The 18,404-nt window shown below is 42.6% G+C and overlaps 1 protein-coding gene across 11 annotated transcripts in view, besides 3 other annotated features; it reads left to right on the forward strand.

The window, feature by feature from the left end:
* Nucleotides 5,007–5,670: an enhancer, noted in NCBI's record as "H3K27ac-H3K4me1 hESC enhancer chr11:43372671-43373334 (GRCh37/hg19 assembly coordinates)". NCBI's record gives its function as "activates a minimal SCP1, AML or CMV promoter by ChIP-STARR-seq in naive H9 embryonic stem cells {active_cell/tissue: H9 hESC(naive)}" and the evidence as "EXISTENCE:reporter gene assay evidence [ECO:0000049][PMID:30033119]".
* Nucleotides 12,665–12,934: an enhancer, noted in NCBI's record as "active region_4640". NCBI's record gives its function as "activates an Ori minimal core promoter by ATAC-STARR-seq in GM12878 lymphoblastoid cells {active_cell/tissue: GM12878}" and the evidence as "EXISTENCE:reporter gene assay evidence [ECO:0000049][PMID:35858748]".
* The window catches only part of TTC17 (tetratricopeptide repeat domain 17), a 136,012-nt gene continuing 130,413 nt past the window's right edge, over nt 12,806–18,404 (forward strand). For all 11 annotated transcript variants that reach the window (NR_164823.1, NR_164824.1, NM_001376525.1 and 8 more), the window contains exon 1: nt 12,806–12,999. Coding sequence is in view for 9 of the 11 variants with exons in the window: in NM_001376525.1 (NP_001363454.1) it covers nt 12,841–12,999 (159 nt within the window). In the remaining 2 variants the exon portion in view is untranslated. The remainder of the gene's footprint in view (nt 13,000–18,404) is intronic.
* Nucleotides 13,065–13,144: a silencer, noted in NCBI's record as "silent region_3267". NCBI's record gives its function as "represses an Ori minimal core promoter by ATAC-STARR-seq in GM12878 lymphoblastoid cells {active_cell/tissue: GM12878}" and the evidence as "EXISTENCE:reporter gene assay evidence [ECO:0000049][PMID:35858748]".

Consider the following 18,404-nt stretch of genomic DNA (forward strand, 5'->3'; position numbering starts at 1 on the left):
TTTATACTTTAAGTTTTAGGGTACATGTGCACATTGTGCAGGTTACATATGTATACATGTGCCATGCTGGTGCGCTGCACCCACTAACTCGTCATCTAGCCTTAGGTATATCTCCCAATGCTATCCTTCCCCCCTCCCCCCACCCCACCACAGTCCCCAGAGTGTGGTATTCCCCTTCATGTGTCCAGGTGATCTCATTGTTCAATTCCCACCTATGAGTGAGAATATACGGTGTTTGGTGATAATTTTACTGAGAATGATGATTTCCAATTTCATCCATGTCCCTACAAAGGATATGAACTCATCATTTTTTATGGCTGCATAGTATTCCATGGTGTATATGTGCCACATTTTCTTAATCCAGTCTATCATTGTTGGACATTTGGGTTGGTTCCAAGTCTTTGCTATCGTGAATAATGCCGCAATAAACATACGTGTGCATGTGTCTTTATAGCAGCATGATTTATAGTCCTTTGGGTATATACCCAGTAATGGGATGGCTGGGTCAAATGGTATTTCTAGTTCTAGATCCCTGAGGAATCGCCACACTGACTTCCACAATGGTTGAACTAGTTTACAGTCCCACCAACAGTGTAAAAGTGTTCCTATTTCTCCACATCCTCTCCAGCACCTGTTGTTTCCTGACTTTTTAATGATTGCCATTCTAACTGGTGTGAGATGATATCTCATAGTGGTTTTGATTTGCATTTCTCTGATGACCAGTGATGATGAGCATTTTTTCATGTGTTTTTTGGCTGCATAAATGTCTTCTTTTGAGAAGTGTCTGTTCATGTCCTTCGCCCACTTTTTGATGGGGTTGTTTGTTTTTTTCCTGTAAATTTGTTTGAGTTCATTGTAGATTCTGGATATTAGCCCTTTGTCAGATGAGTAGGTTGTGAAAATTTTCTCCCATGTTGTAGGTTGCCTGTTCACTCTGATGGTAGTTTCTTTTGCTGTGCAGAAGCTCTTTAGTTTAATTAGATCCCATTTGTCAATTTCGGCTTTTGTTGCCATTGCTTTTGGTGTTTTGGACATGAAGTCCTTGCCCACGCCTATGTCCTGAATGGTAATGCCTAGGTTTTCTTCTAGGGTTTTTATGGTTTTAGGTCTAACGTTTAAATCTTTAATCCATCTTGAATTGATTTTTGTATAAGGTGTAAGGAAGGGATCCAGTTTCAGCTTTCTACATATGCCTAGCCAGTTTTCCCAGCACCATTTATTAAATAGGGAATCCTTTCCCCATTGCTTGTTTTTCTCAGGTTTGTCAAAGATCAGATAGTTGTAGGTATGCGGCGTTATTTCTGAGGGCTCTGTTCTGTTCCATTGATCTATATCTCTGTTTTGGTACCAGTACCATGCTGTTTTGGTTACTGTAGCCTTGTAGTATAGTTTGAAGTCAGGTAGTGTGATGCCTCCAGCTTTGTTCTTTTGGCTTAGGATTGACTTGGCGATGCGGGCTCTTTTTTGGTTCCATATGAACTTTAAAGTAGTTTTTTCCAATTCTGTGAAGAAAGTCATTGGTAGCTTGATGGGGATGGCATTGAATCTGTAAATTACCTTGGGCAGTATGGCCATTTTCACGATATTGATTCTTCCTACCCATGAGCATGGAATGTTCTTCCATTTGTTTGTATCCTCTTTTATTTCCTTGAGCAGTGGTTTGTAGTTCTCCTTGAAGAGGTCCTTCACAACCCTTGTAAGTTGGATTCCTGGGTATTTTATTCTCTTTGAAGCAATTGTGAATGGGAGTTCACTCATGATTTGGCTCTCTGTTTGTCTGTTGTTGGTGTATAAGAATGCTTGTGATTTTTGTACATTGATTTTGTATCCTGAGACTTTGCTGAAGTTGCTTATCAGCTTAAGGAGATTTTGGGCTGAGATGATGGGGTTTTCTAGATAAACAATCATGTCATCTGCAAATAGGGACAATTTGACTTCCTCTTTTCCTAATTGAATACCCTTTATTTCCTTCTCCTGCCTGATTGCCCTGGCCAGAACTTCCAACACTATGTTGAATAGGAGCGGTGAGAGAGGGCATCCCTGTCTTGTGCCAGTTTTCAAAGGGAATGCTTCCAGTTTTTGCCCATTCAGTATGATATTGGCTGTGGGTTTCTCATAGATAGCTCTTATTATTTTGAAATACGTCCCATCAATACCTAATTTATTGAGAGTTTTTAGCATGAAGGGTTGTTGAATTTTGTCAAAGGCTTTTTCTGCATCTATTGAGATAATCATGTGGTTTTTGTCTTTGGCTCTGTTTATATGCTGGATTACATTTATTGATTTGCGTATATTGAACCAGCCTTGCATCCCAGGGATGAAGCCCACTTGATCATGGTGGATAAGCTTTTTGATGTGCTGCTGGATTCGGTTTGCCAGTATTTTATTGAGGATTTTTGCATCAATGTTCATCAAGGATATTGGTCTAAAATTCTCTTTTTTGGTTGTGTCTCTGCCCGGCTTTGGTATCAGAATGATGCTGGCCTCATAAAATGAGTTAGGGAGGATTCCCTCTTTTTCTATTGATTGGAATAGTTTCAGAAGGAATGGTACCAGTTCCTCCTTGTACCTCTGCTAGAATTCGGCTGTGAATCCATCTGGTCCTGGACTCTTTTTGGTTGGTAAGCTATTGATTATTGCCACAATTTCAGCTCCTGTTATTGGTCTATTCAGAGATTCAACTTCTTCCTGGTTTAGTCTTGGGAGAGTGTATGTGTCGAGGAATGTATCCATTTCTTCTAGATTTTCTAGTTTATTTGCGTAGAGGTGTTTGTAGTATTCTCTGATGGTAGTTTGTATTTCTGTGGGATCAGTGGTGATATCCCCTTTATCATTTTTTATTGTGTCTATTTGATTCTTCTCTCTTTTTTTCTTTATTAGTCTTGCTAGCGGTCTATCAATTTTGTTGATCCTTTCAAAAAACCAGCTCCTGGATTCATTGATTTTTTGAAGGGTTTTTTGTGTCTCTATTTCCTTCAGTTCTGCTCTGATTTTAGTTATTTCTTGCCTTCTGCTAGCTTTTGAATGTGTTTGCTCTTGCTTTTCTAGTTCTTTTAATTGTGATGTTAGGGTGTCAATTTTGGATCTTTCCTGCTTTCTCTTGTGGGCATTTAGTGCTATAAATTTCCCTCTACACACTGCTTTGAATGCGTCCCAGAGATTCTGGTATGTTGTGCCTTTGTTCTCGTTGGTTTCAAAGAACATCTTTATTTCTGCCTTCATTTCGTTATGTACCCAGTAGTCATTCAGGAGCAGGTTGTTCAGTTTCCATGTAGTTGAGCGGCTTTGAGTGAGATTCTTAATCCTGAGTTCTAGTTTGATTGCACTGTGGTCTGAGAGATAGTTTGTTATAATTTCTGTTCTTTTACATTTGCTGAGGAGAGCTTTACTTCGAACTATGTGGTCAATTTTGGAATAGGTGTGGTGTGGTGCTGAAAAAAATGTATATTCTGTTGATTTGGGGTGGAGAGTTCTGTAGATGTCTATTAGGTCCGCTTGGTGCAGAGCTGAGTTCAATTCCTGGGTATCCTTGTTGACTTTCTGTCTCGTTGATCTGTCTAATGTTGACAGTGGGGTGTTAAAGTCTCCCATTATTAATGTGTGGGAGTCTAAGTCTCTTTGTAGGTCACTCAGGACTTGCTTTATGAATCTGGGTGCTCCTGTATTGGGTGCATATATATTTAGGATAGTTAGCTCCTCTTGTTGAATTGATCCCTTTACCATTATGTAATGGCCTTCTTTTTCTCTTTTGATCTTTGTTGGTTTAAAGTCTGTTTTATCAGAGACTAGGATTGCAACCCCTGCCTTTTTTAGTTTTCCATTTGCTTGGTAGATCTTCCTCCATCCTTTTATTTTGAGCCCATGTGTGTCTCTGCACGTGAGATGGGTTTCCTGAATACAGCACACTGATGGGTCTTGACTCTTTATCCAACTTGCCAGTCTGTGTCTTTTAATTGGAGAATTTAGTCCATTTACATTTAAAGTTAATATTGTTATGTGTGAATTTGATCCTGTCATTATGATGTTAGCTGGTGATTTTGCTCGTTAGTTGATGCAGTTTCTTCCTAGTCTCGATGGTCTTTACATTTTGGCATGATTTTGCAGCGGCTGGTACCGGTTGTTCCTTTCCATGTTTAGCGCTTCCTTCAGGAGCTCTTTTAGGGCAGGCTTGGTGGTGACAAAATCTCTCAGCATTTGCTTGTCTGTAAAGTATTTTATTTCTCCTTCACTTATGAAGCTTAGTTTGGCTGGATATGAAATTCTGGGTTGAAAATTCTTTTCTTTAAGAATGTTGAATATTGGCCCCCACTCTCTTCTGGCTTGTAGGGTTTCTGCCGAGAGATCCGCTGTTAGTCTGATGGGCTTCCCTTTGAGGGTAACCCGACCTTTCTCTCTGACTGCCCTTAACATTTTTTCCTTCATTTCAACTTTGGTGAATCTGACAATTATGTGTCTTGGAGTTGCTCTTCTCGAGGAGTATCTTTATGGCGTTCTCTGTATTTCCGGAATCTGAACCTTGGCCTGCCTTGCTAGATTGGGGAAGTTCTCCTGGATAATATCCTGCAGAGTGTTTTCCAACTTGGTTCCATTCTCCGCATCACTTTCAGGTACACCAATCAGACATAGATTTGGTCTTTTCACATAGTCCCATATTTCTTGGAGGGTTTGCTCATTTCTTTTTATTCTTTTTTCTCTAAACTTCCCTTCTCGCTTCATTTCATTCATTTCATCTTCCATTGCTGATACCCTTTCTTCCAGTTGATCGCATCGTCTCCTGAGGCTTCTGCATTCTTCATGTAGTTCTCGAGCCTTGGTTTTCAGCTCCATCAGCTCCTTTAAGCACTTCTCTGTATTCGTTATTCTAGTTATACATTCTTCTAAATTTTTTTCAAAGTTTTCAACTTCTTTGCCTTTGGTTTGAATGTCCTCCCGTAGCTCAGAGTAATTTGATCGTCTGAAGCCTTCTTCTCTCAGCTCGTCAAAATCATTCTCCATCCAGCTTTTTTCCGTTGCTGGTGAGGAACTGCCTTCCTTTGGAGGAGGAGAGGCGCTCTGCGTTTTAGAGTTTCCAGTTTTTCTGTTCTGTTTTTTCCCCATCTTTGTGGTTTTATCTACTTTTGGTCTTTGATGATGGTGATGTACAGATGGGTTTTCGGTGTGGATGTCCTTTCTGTTTGTTAGTTTTCCTTCTAACAGACAGGACCCTCAGCTGCAGGTCTGTTGGAATACCCTGCAGTGTGAGGTGTCAGTGTGCCCCTGCTGGGGGGTGCCTCCGAGTTAGGCTGCTCGGGGGTCAGGGGTCAGGGACCCACTTGAGGAGGCAGTCTGCCCGTTCTCAGATCTCCAGCTGCGTGCTGGGAGAACCACTGCTCTCTTCAAAGCTGTCAGACAGGGACATTTAAGTCTGCAGAGGTTACTGCTGTCTTTTTGTTTGTCTGTGCCCTGCCCCCAGAGGTGGAGCCTACAGAGGCAGGCAGGCCTCCTTGAGCTGTGGTGGGCTCCACCCAGTTCTGAGCTTCCCGGCTGCTTCGTTTACCTAAGCAAGCCTGGGCAATGGCGGGCGCCCCTCCCCCAGCCTCGCTGCCGCCTTGCAGTTTGATCTCAGACTGCTGTGCTAGCAATCAGCGAGACTCCGTGGGCGTAGGACCCTCCGAGCCAGGTGTGGGATATAGTCCCGTGGTGCGCCGTTTTTTAAGCCGGTCTGAAAAGCGCAATATTCGGGTGGGAGTGACCCGATTTTCCAGGTGCGTCCGTCACCCCTTTCTTTGACTCGGAAAGGGAACTCCCTGACCCCTTGCGCTTCCCAGGTGAGGCAATGCCTCGCCCTGCTTCGGCTCGCGCACGGTGCGTGCACCCACTGGCCTGCGCCCACTGTCTGGCACTCCCTAGTGAGATGAACCCGGTACCTCAGATGGAAATGCAGAAATCACCCGTCTTCTGCGTCGCTCACGCTGGGAGCTGTAGACCGGAGCTGTTCCTATTCGGCCATCTTGGCTCCTCCCCCATCAGTATTCCTTATATCCACACATCTAACTCCTTTTTCAAATCCTCGAAGCTAACCTACTCAATCCTATCTAATACTGCAATGTCCCTTTCCACCCCACCAAGACTCCAGACCCACTTACCCTACTATATGCTCTCCAGTTTTACCAACTTGTATGTTGTTTACTCTGTCCCCTACTGCTAGAATATGTGGCTAAAGTGCCACAAAAGTAAAGATTTTTGCATGTTGTTCATTCATAATCCCAAGCATCCAGAACAGTGTTTTGTACATAGTAAGCTTTCAACTCATAATAAGTTGAAGGCACTGTTTTAAGCCTAGGGGATATAGTGGTGAACAAAACAGGCAAACTCATGGAGTTTACATTCTCTTATGCAGATCCTGACAAACTTAAGCCTGTACCAGAGTAGTAAGTGCTATAAGGGTACTGAAGCATTCTAATATGCTTCAGCTAGTATAGATAAAATAGTCAGAAAAAAGCCTCTGAGTGACTAATTGGAGGTGAGACCTGGATAATGATACCAAGCCAGCCTCGTGAAGACCTCAAGGAAGAGCACTGAGATCGAGGCAACAAAATGTGTAGGACACTTAGCTTTTAAGAATGTGCCAAGCTGTGTTAGAGAATGGGCTATCTCGGAGGTCTTAGATTCCTAACCTTGACCTCAGAAGTCCTAAGTTCATCCTCTACTACAATAGTGAACTGCTTTCAGTAAACTGAAAGTTAACACCATACTCTTTCTGACATTAGGAATTTTTCCTCTGGAAAATCATGGTTCCTTGATTCTGCCCATTTATCTGGCTGCTTCAGGTCTGAGTAAATTTGACCCTCCTTGGGACACCTTTCCTCTCCAGTTGGTTACAGGACTACCTATTATGTGCTTCCTCAGTAGGTGGGTAAAAAACAGCAGGAGAGAGATCATTGTAATCAGTGTGATTGAAACTAAAGCTTAAACTAATATGAAATTAACATACCAATAAAAACCTAAGATGACTATCTTGCTATCCTCAGAGCAGCCCTCTGAGTTTGAATCCTTGGTCTCATCCATGGTAGCCCTCATACTTCACACTGCCTGATCTATTTGACAAATGATTTCTAAATGAAATTACTATATTAGGTATCCTCTGCCTCCCTTTTAAAAATCCTCTTCGCTCACCGTGCATATTGATGTTGAAGAGTTACACATGTAAAACCCTTCTTGCTATAACCAGGCTCCTTTCCAACCTGTTCCCCTCCACCCTGCTTCCAACCAACTCAAAATTACTCTTAAAGACTTAATTATGGCCAGGCGCAGTGGCTCACCCCCTGTAGTCCCAGCACTTTGGGAGGCCGAGGTGGGTGGATCACAAGGTCAAGAGATCGAGACCATCCTGACCAACATGGTGAAACCCCGTCTCTACTAAAAATACAAAATTTAGCCGGGCGTGGTGGCGTACACTTGTAGTCCCAGCTACTAGGGAGGCTGAGGTAGAATTGCTTGAATCTGGGAGGCGGAGGTTGCAGTGAGCCGAGATTGTGCCACTGCACTCCAGCCTGCCAATAAAGCAAGACTCCAGCTCAAAAAAAAAAAAAAAGAATTATATATAGTAGGATGCCAATAATTCCTTCCATTCCTACTCAAACATGCTGTTTCTCCTATCAAGATAAATCTGTGTCCATCCACACTTGAATTTGGGCTAAGCTTGTTACTTTCCTTAACCAGGAGAATGCAGAATGATGCTTTACCACTTCTGGGGCCTGACCCTCTGAAAGCCTGGCAGCTTCCTTTTATTCTTTCAGCACCCTGAGCCACCCTGTAAGAAGTCTATGTAACTCCTTGTCTAAGAGAGGCCCAGCTACCCCCAGCCATTTCAACCACTCCAAGTAAAGCACCAGACATGGTGGAGCCAGTTTGGAACATTTCAGCCTCAGCTGAGCTCCTAGCTGAATGCAGCCTTAAGAGTGACCCCAGCCAACACCAGGAGTAGCAGAAGAACCACCCAGCTGAGTCCAACAAACTGAAAAATAATAAATCATGTTTTAAGGCTTAAAATTTAAACCTCTAAGACTTACATTGGTTTTATTACAAAGCAAAAGATAACAGAATGTAAGCCAGAGTGTTACCCTCCTCCCTAGGGGTATTTATATCTTAAATATTTTCTCTAAGGAATAGGCAGTATGTAAATCCTTTGCAATTTTCAGGTAAGGTGGCCCAAGGGAGGACGTTAATCCAGAAAGATCATTCATTCTATCAACAGAATGAATTCTAATTCATAACTTCAAGAATTCTATGATTTATAGTAATAGTAAATAAAAGACCTATTTGCTAAAATATGTTGAAAGACTAAATTACATGCAGTTAGGGACTTGCCTATCATTCGTTGAACTAACAATTGAATCACAATTTGAGATATCAGCAATTTTGTCAACTGCCATCCTGTATTTCTATAAATTTCATCGAAGAGGAAAAGTATAATGAAAAAAGAAACATCAGATCTTAGAACAACAGAATAAAAGAACGGTGACAAGTGATCTGGATGTAGAAAATTAGTAGGAACAATTTTATTTAAGTTTTTTGTTTTATTCACACAAAATGGGAATGCTACATTTGGGGGAGCTAAAAAACTGAGTCAACAAACTATTTTGCACAGAAGTTCCAAGGAAGATAAAAATGTTAGTATAGGAAATGCTTCCTGCCCTCAGTTGCTAGTGTAGGTAATTATAGAATTGCAAGATGACAGGTCCCTGGATGGCCTTGGCCATGCCAGCTCTTCCCCCTCTTGCTTGCAATTTTCAGGCAGAATGTACTGAGAATGCAACATCCTGAGATAAGGAGGAAGCTTCCAGAACAACCTGGGCTGCGTCCTCATTTTTCCTAAAACAGGATGTTCTGCAACACTTGTACTCAGCAATCTCAGTTACACCCAGGGTATAAAACCCAAAGTGTTTTTGGAGTCCCTCATCTGTGCTGCAACATGGGGTATGTGCAGATGAGGCTCCATCTGCCCTAAGCAGCTTTCCTGAGCCATGGGATCAGCTAACCATGGATCCTCCATTTCTGTGTATCTTTGCTGCCTATTTGTAAAAAATTTGCTTTGCCTGACTTACTGTTTGAGTGTTCTGCCTCACCAGATTAGAACTAAGAACTATTGCAAGAACCACTCAAGAGTTTGGCTGTTCAAAGTTTATAAAATAATATCACAAAGCAGCATAGTATTGTCATATTACTGACAGAATTCAGAGGTGGCAAACAAGTTGACAGACATTTTTGCAGGCTAGGATTTCAACTGTATCTTAAATAGATTTGAGAAAGCAGCATGAGGAAAGGATTTTAGGCAGGGAACAGGAGCAAAAGTATGTCTAAATTAGTCTGTGATACTTAAAACAGTTCAGTGAAAGACTAGAAGAATGGTACTTGGCAGTCAAGATCTGTGGTAGGCAAAATTCTAAGATGATACCCAATGGTCCTTGCCCGCATAAAATCTCCCCTACGTATATTAAAACATCATGTTGTACACTAAATATATACAATTTTGTCCATTTCACCTTAATAGAGTAGAAAAGGGGGAAATTTCCTAACTTGACTATGTGGGTAAAACATGAATACGATATCACTCCTGTGATCATAGGTTTGGATGTGGTTAGGGCCGCCAAAACTCATGTTGAAATTTGGTACCCAATGTGGCAGTGTTGGGAGATGGGGCCTAGTGGAAGGTTTCTGGGTCATGGGGGTGGATCTGTCATGAACAGATTAATGCCCTCACGGTGGTGGGGGGGGAGGTGAGTTCTTGCTCTCTCAGGAATGAATTAGTTCTCGAGTGTGGGTTGTTAAAAGAGTTTGGCTTTCTTGATTTGTCTCTCTTGCTGCTTCTCTCAACATGTGATCTCTATGCACACCCACTCCCCTTCTGCTTTCCTCCCTAAGTGGAAGCAGCGTGAGGCCCTTACCAGATGCGGCTGCCCAATCTTGGACTTTTCAGCCACCAGAATCATAAGCCAATTAAACCTCTTTTCTTTATGAATTGCCCAGCTTTAGGTATTCTGTTATAACAACACAAAATGGACTAAGATAATGTTATATGGCAAACGAAATTTTTGCAGATGGCATTAAAGTTACTAATCAGTTGAATAAAAAGGGATATTATTCAGATAGACCTTATCAACTCACATGAGCCCTTTAAGTCTAGGCTTAGAGATAGAGGAATTCAAGAGATTTCAGCAGTGGAAATATTCTGCTTGCCTTCAAGGAATAACTGCCATTGTGAGAGCCACATGGCAGAAAACTGTGGGTAGCCTCAATGTTAATGGCCACAATCAGCAGCCAGTAAGAAAATGGAGCCCTCAGTCCTACATTGGCAATAAATTGAATTCTGCCAAGGACTTGAAGAATGAGCTTGACTGAGGAACCCCAAGCCTCAGATGAGATTGCAGCCTTGATATGAGCCTTGTGACACTGAGCAGAGAACTCAGTCACACCACAGCAGAAGACTTTTGCCCCAAGGAAACTGTCAGATAATGTGTTAAGCTAAGTTTGTGGCAATTGTTACACAGCATTAGAAAACTAATACAGGATCCCAAAAGATAAGAGTTATCATCTACAGAAAATAGGTGGTATAATAAAGCTATAGAAGCTATAATTCCACCCCTTTAGAGGTTAACTTGTGAAGGTCAAAGAAATTGCTGATAGCAAAATATGTGATGCTGGGGCCTTTCTCAAATTCCTCACTAACATTCATTCATTCTCAGGCTCTCAGATCTAGAGTCAGGTGGATCTGAGTCCAAACCTGAGCTCTACCACTTAGCAATATGATCTTGGCCAACTTACTTAACTAGCCAGAGCTTGGTAAGTTGTGACGATTAATAGGAACTATGCATGTACAGGACCCAGTACGTATTAAACACTCAAGAAATGTTAGATGATGATGATGTCAGCTTTATACACAAGAAATAGGGTTGACCTCTATGCCCCAAAAATAAGATGCTGAGACAAAAGGGATTCCATCATTTGCCACTTCTCTATTTTAAAATTCTGAAACACTCCCTATTGCCTATGTCTAAACTCCAAGAAACTCTTAAAACATGCCACTGACTTCACCTTTTCGTTTCTTGAGACGGATTCTCGCTCTGTCACTTAGGCTGGAGTGCAGTGGTGTGATCTCGGCTCACTGCAATCCCCGCCTCCCGTGTTCAAGCAATTCTCTGCCTCAGCCTCCCAAGTAGCTGGAATTACAGGTGCCCGCCACCATGCCCGGCTGATTTTTGTATTTTTAGTAGAGGCGGGGTTTCACCATCTTGGCCAGGCCAGTCTTGAACTCCTGACCTCAGTGATCCATCCACCTCGGCCTCCCAAAGTGCTGGGATTACAGGCGTGAGCCACCGCGCCCGGCCAACTTCACCTTTTCACTTATTATTCTGCCTGAACCAGCACCTGAGCTCCAAACCTTTTTTTCACCTGGTTGGTTGCTCTCTCCTGTACATATGCATTCATACACCCCCATTATCCTGTATTTTAATTGTTAACCTGCCAATAATATCTCACTATATTGCACACTGCCCAATGGTTACATTTCCATACCCAGAGACTATCAGAGTACCAGGCAAAAAGCAAATAAGCCATATATTTTTAATGAAATGAATGTTCAGTCTTCAGGCCTTTAAGAAAAGCTGTTCCTGGAATGAAGAAAAAAAAAACACCAATGCTGTGGTTGTTTCTACATTTCTATAGCGTGGTGTTTAAACACTTAGCAACTGCTCTCCTGCATACACTTGTGTAGAGAAGTGGTTAAACAATATTCTCATCCTTCTTTTCCCAAGGAGAAAACCAAAAGCATACCAACCTTAAATAACACACACAGAGGGCAATCTTGAAAGACCTAAAATGACATATCTAGCAAGAAGCTGGCAGCCAAGCTTGACGCCTGCCTGCCTGCCTGTTGGTTCACTAGAAGAAAGTGGTTCTCAAACTTTAATATGTATACCAGTCACCTGAGGCTATTGTTAAAATGTAGTCTGATTCAGCAGGTTGCGGGGGAGAGGGAGAAGAGCCGAGAATGTGCAGGTCTAAAAAGCTCCCAGGTGATGCCAATGTTTCTGGTCTCCAGACCTAGACCTCTAGCTTAGACCTGTGCTGACCAGTACGTTAGCCACATGCGGGTATTAAGCCCCTGAAATATGACTAGATAAGCTGTCAGTGTAACATGCCGATTTCCAAGACTTAGTTAAAAAAAAAAAAACTAAACTATCTCAATGATTTGTACAGACCACATTGAATTAATATTTTGTGTACTTTGAGTTAAATAAAATGTACTAGTAGGGTTACTTCCCTCTATATTTTACATTCCACACGTGGCTCGCATTATAGTGCTACTGGACAGCGGTGCCCTAAACTAACAACCGTCTCCATTCTGAAGCTTCCACTATTGTGAGACTTTAAGAATAAAAGCAACACCTCTCTTCCCATAGGTGGTTCGAAAGCACACCTTTTGTTCCCCAACTATCTACCAGAAATAAAACGAAAAAACAAAGATTTAAAAAACAATAAAATTGAGTCCTTTCACTTCTGCTTAAGCGCCACCTAAGCCACTGCTTTTGTCTCCCTCCGGTTCCCACGCTCCGAGATCGTATCACCCACAGAAAAACAATAACTAAAAAGCGGTCTCCATCCCTGAAGCCAAGCTGGGAGAGTAGCCGAAGGTCGCGCTTCCTGGCCGCCAAAACCGAGGTGGAGGAAACTTGGTAGTCAGCGAGCTACGCCCTCTCGGCTCCTCCTCCTGCTCCTCCTCCAGGGCCGACCTCTTCAAGATGGCGGGCGCCGGAGACTAGCTTCCGCTTCCGGTGTGAGCGGCCCGGCCGGGGGGGCAAGATGGCGGCGGCAGTAGGGGTTCGTGGCCGGTACGAGCTGCCGCCTTGCTCCGGCCCAGGCTGGCTCCTCAGCCTTTCCGCCTTGCTGAGTGTGGCGGCACGAGGGGCCTTCGCCACCACGCACTGGGTCGTCACGGAGGACGGGAAAATCCAGCAGCAGGTAGCGGCCGGGGCGTCCCTCTTCTCCCGTGCCCGCCCTCGCCCCGGGGGGATTACCCTGCTTGGCCCCTGGCTGTTGGGCTCCGCGCGGCCCCGCCCCCAGCCTACCCTCACAGGGAGGTGGCACCGCGACCTCGGACTCCCTGCATTCGGACCAGGCAGGCACTTCCCGCTCCCCACTTGTCTCCTGGTCCTCGTTTGGCCCCCTAGAAGTTCTCACCCTTCCACCTCGCGGGCCGCGCGCCGCGTGGGGAAGAGTCGCCCAGCTGCGGGAGACGGGCCCTACGGACCTTTTTTTAGCTCGGGGTTTAGAAATCACAGATTTCAGGATTCCTGCCTTTGGTGCCTCTCGGGTTCACGCGTCACCGGCCCTCCCCGAGGAAATAGAAAGCAGGTGGCAGCTCCAGGGTGTGCGCGAGTCCCATGGTATGACAGCTTCTGGACCCCTAGCCTGTGGACCATTCGTGCTGCTCCCCTAGTCTCGTCTACCACATGGTGGATTTCGTTTCTGGTTGTGTTGGTTTCAGCTTGTACCGTTACTCAGGTCAGCAGTGGCTCATTAGAAACAACATAGAAACACTCCCCTTCAGAAGGAATGCTTGAAGATGCCGCTGGTGGCGTTGCCTGCATCTTTTCAGCTGTTACTGCCCTCGTTTCCCAGTGCACTTTGCTTTGTTTCTTTACCTAGTTCTTGTGACCCAGCCTCGCATGGAGGATATGCGATTTCCTGGATTCTTGTATGCCTGAACTAATTCCTCAGAGGCGAGACTGCTTTTCTTATATAACTTTATGATTGCCTGCGTTTTGTAAATGCTGCTGATGCCTAACGAGTGCGTGTGTGTGTTCCGCTACAGAATATTGGTAAACTTACTGACTTCGAACACTTGAGGACAATCTTGAAGTGTCTAGCAAACATTTAGAAAGTGAATTGTGTGCCCCATGCAATTTAGCCCACTGATCTAAAACGTTTTAACTAGTGTGGTGGGAAATTACTGGTCCTTTGGATTGTGTGTAATGAATCATGATAGGAACACATTCCAACGTTTAAGGTGAGGTTTAGATTTAGATTTGCCGTGTAATGTAATTGCAAATTCTATCTCAAGTAAGTTAAGTATAACTAAAAATCCGCCTAGGTATTCATGAGTGGTTTTCAGCATATCTAAGAAAAGACCGTGTTCCTATTGGGTAACGTTTTCTATATGACATACATAAAGAACAGTTTCCTTTTCATTGCCATACTATCTGAGACTTTAAATATATGTGTATGTGTTTCAGAAACCCAAGAAAACACTGTAAGACCATATGTGAGTGCTGGTTGCTTCCACCCTTCTTTTGTTTCTTGATAGTGGTTTTCCCTGAGGTCTCTATGAAGACGTGGAATTAAGTCACTCCTGCTGCATTTTGGGGAGCCTTTCTCCTGTTGGCTCTTCTGCAATATTGTTTTTGGCCACAGCTATTTATACTCTATGACATTGACTTCTCCTTCCCATTTTGGTGTCCTACCACTCAGCTGAAAAAGTAGCCCATCTAAAAAGTGAAAGCTGGTAGAAATGTTTTATGTATATACTTAACATTGCAATGGGAAAGTAGAGTCTGATTTTTTTTTTTTTTTTAACAAATTCCTTCTTTTTGCACTTTGGATACATATGTATTAATGGGGGAAGGCAGGGGTTACTGGAAACTTGCCTCAGAGAAGCAGGGAAGAGCTGAAGAATCTTTTGGATCTCTGCCAAGTCACTGCTGAGCTAAGTAATTAGGCTTAAAGTTTAAAAAGCAAGATTTCTCTATTACATGACTTTTTAAGTGATCCTTTTCATTGAATTTTCCAATACTTTGCTATACATAACATTTACAATGTTATGTTCAGGCAGCCACAAGATTTTATGCCAGAAGAAATAAGGTTGGTGTCTGCAGTGTAACAATAAGAGGCCAGGGGAGGAAAGTTGGATTTAATCTGAAGAAAAGGCACCACATATAAATAAAGTAAAAGAATTGGGTGCTGTGGTGAGCTGCCGAGTTCCACTCTGATAGCTGATTGTGCATGACCCATGCTTCCCTTCCTGGCCATAATTTGTATGCAGGTAGAATCCAAACTATCAATTTAGATCGTGATTAATTATAATATTTGTATATACTGTACTTAAGGACTTGAAAGATCACATTAGTGTATGAAATCCATATATATTGCAGATTTGTACATTCAGAAACATAATTAAAAGCTTAGTATATACAGATGCTCCTCAGCTTATGAAGGGGTTATGTGCTGATAAACTCATTGTAAGTCGAAAATACTGTAAGTCAAAAATGCATTTAATGTACCTACCAAACATTGTAGCTTAGCCTAACCTACCTTAAACGTGCTCACAATACTTACATTAGCCAAATTTGGGCAAAATCATCTAACAGCATCTTTTACAATAAAGTATCAAAATACCTCATGTAATTCATGAATACTTCACTGAAAGTGAAAAACAGAATGGTTATATGGGCACTCAGTACAGTTGCTACCAAATGCATGTCACTTTTGCAGCATTGTAAAGTCAAGAAATTATAAGTTGAACCATCGAAAGGTGGGGACCATCTGTATACTTTGTCCTGACATACCAAATTCTTGCTGCTTATTCTTGGTTACAATATTTGAATGAGAGCATAAGTGTGATTTCAGTTTTAAAGTGACCTACTACCAGGCAAAGGGCTAAGGGCTAACTGGATTAACAGCTTTTAGAAAATTAGAGTGGTACATACCTTTTGAGAACCTTTAATATTAAACACACCCAGATTAGATATATGGGTCATTGTTTTCCACAGTGATCATAAAGAAGTACTTATGACTTAAAAATCTGAATTGTCCAACCATCATTATAACTTTTTTTTTTTTTTTTTTTGAGATGGAGTTTTGCTCTTGTTGCCCAGGCTGGAGTGCAATGGCGCTATCTTGGCTCACCACAACCTCCGCCTCCCGGGTTCAAGTGATTCTCCTGCCTCAGCATCCCGAGTAGCTGGGATTACAGGCATGCACTACCACACCCGGCTAATTTGTGTGTGTGTGTGTGTGTGTGTGTGTGTGTGTGTGTGTGTGTGTATTTTTAGTAGAGACAGGGTTTTACCATACTGGACAGGCTGGTCTCAAACTCCAAACCTTGTGATCCGCCCACCTTGGCCTCTCAAAGTGCTGGGATTACAGGCGTGAGCCGCTGTGCCCGGCCATTATAACTTTTTAAGTACATCAAGGAGTCTTTCCCAGGAGAGATGAAAATTCATTTGATTTTTTATATTTCAAGGTTTAGCAGACAATAAAGATAGGCACCCACCAGTTACATACCGCAGACTTGTCAACATGCGTATGTATTGGAAATGGTACATCCTTTGGTGGGTTGAAAAGGGGGTTAAGTAAGAGCAAGGAGCATACATTCCTGCAGGCAACCTCTTCACAGTCAGAGCTGGGGCTGCTGCAGGCAGCAGCTGGTGTCCATTACTTGGCATGATGGTTAAAGGAATTATTTCTTTTTCTTTTAGAGATGGGGGTCTTTCTTTATTGCCCAGGCTGAAGTGCATGGTTACTCCCATGCATTGCAGCCTTAATTGATCTTCCTACCTCAGCCTCCTGAGTAGGTGGGACTACAGGCTTGTGCCACCATGCCCAGCAAGTTGTTGCATTTCACAATCCCTGCCTCAGCTAGGAAGCATACCTTCCCCAATTTTTAGGTTATGTTTACTGAGCTGCCACTGAATTCCCAAATATGGTCCAGGGAATCCTGGAGCTGGGATGTGGAGAGAACATTCCAATCACTAAGTTCCTTTTCCACTGGTGTCAGGGGAAGGCTAAGAGAAACCCCGTCTTCTTCTCCTCTCCGCTCTGTGCTGTTTTCCTAGCTTTGGGCTTTGACATACCTCTGATGCCCTAGTGTCTGTCGCTGGTACCTGAAACCTAGTAAGCCCATCTCACTTTATTTAAGCAGGGGTCCTTAACTTCGACCCCATGGACTTAAGAAGTGAGCTATTATAATCTAGTTACTAAAAGGAGCACTAGCGTAATCAGGCCTGTGGCTCTTTTGGTTGACTTTTTGAAAAATAGGTTTCAAGATAAATTTTGTGTTGTTTCATTTTGATGTTGTTTTTGCTTAATCCCTAGTTTGGCAATATCTACTTTCTGTATTCTATTTTCTATTTTTTAATCAGTGTCTGGTAATTTACTTGCATCAAAGGTTAAACTTGTGAATTTGCCTAAGAGCCTAACCACTCTATGGCACTTCATTTTGTTGAAAAAAATATATGTTCCATGCTCTAGGTAGCAGCTAACAGAGAAACTCTTGAAATGTTACCAGTTTGTTAGTTGTAGCCTTACTGAATCAAGAAGTTGTATTGCTAGTACTGAGTTCTCTGCCTCTGGATATTCTTTTTCTTCATAATTGGAGGGCTAAAAATTTAAGTAAATTAAGAGTATCATCTGTATCAGCTGTCTTATACATTTTAATATTCGTATTCTTTGTCACTATTTCCCTCTTCTCCAATCTTACTTAGAACTGTGGACTTTCAGATTTGGAAAACATTCTTAAAGATTATGTAGTACAACTCCTAAGAGAGAAAGTCACTCAAAGTCGTGTAACTAATGTGTGGCATTTCGTGGCAATAGTAAGTAAAAATGGATTAGTCTGCAGTAGCATGCAAGTGAGCACCTTGTACTCAGTAGATTTTTTTTCCTCTCATAACACTTACAAATGAAGGACTACAAAGAAACATAAAAGCAAAAATGAAAATAATGAAGTAAAGGTATCTTCTTTTCCAGTTTGCTTTATCTCCATAGAATGTTTTGTGGTAACTTAAGATTCAGGGTAAGTGGGTGTGGAAGGGTCCTAAATAAGTGTGAGTTCATTCGGCATTTACTTAATCGTTTTGTCCCCCGGTCAGGCCGGTATCTTCGGAGTACAGATCCTCTTTTTTTTTTTTTTTTTTTTTTTTTTGAGACGGAGTCTCACTCTTATCACCCAGGCTGGAGTGCAGTGGTGTGATTCTGGCTCACTGCAACCTCTGTCTCCTGGGTTTAAGTGATTCTCCTGTCTTAGCCTCCCAAATAGCTGGGACTACAGGTGTGCACCACCACACCTGGCTAATTTTTGAATTTTTAGTAGAGACAGGGTTTCTTCATGTCGGCCAGGCTGGTCTTAAACTCCAGGCCTCAAGCGATCCTCCTGCCTTGGCCTCCCAAAGTGCTGGGATTACAGGTGTGAGCCATTGTGCCCAGCCATTAATAGCTTGTAAGTGAAGGCCTGGTTTAATTTTGGTCTGATGTTAAGTAATTTGGTTAATCTGGGAGAGAGCATCCATATGGCACTGTGAAGCTGACAGCTTTATTTCTGTACTTTTCAAAAGTAACTCATCTTTTTTTGTCATAAAGGACTGTTTCTA

This window comes from Homo sapiens, chromosome 11, assembly GCF_000001405.40.
Source record: "Homo sapiens chromosome 11, GRCh38.p14 Primary Assembly".
Classification (NCBI taxonomy): domain Eukaryota; kingdom Metazoa; phylum Chordata; class Mammalia; order Primates; family Hominidae; genus Homo; species Homo sapiens.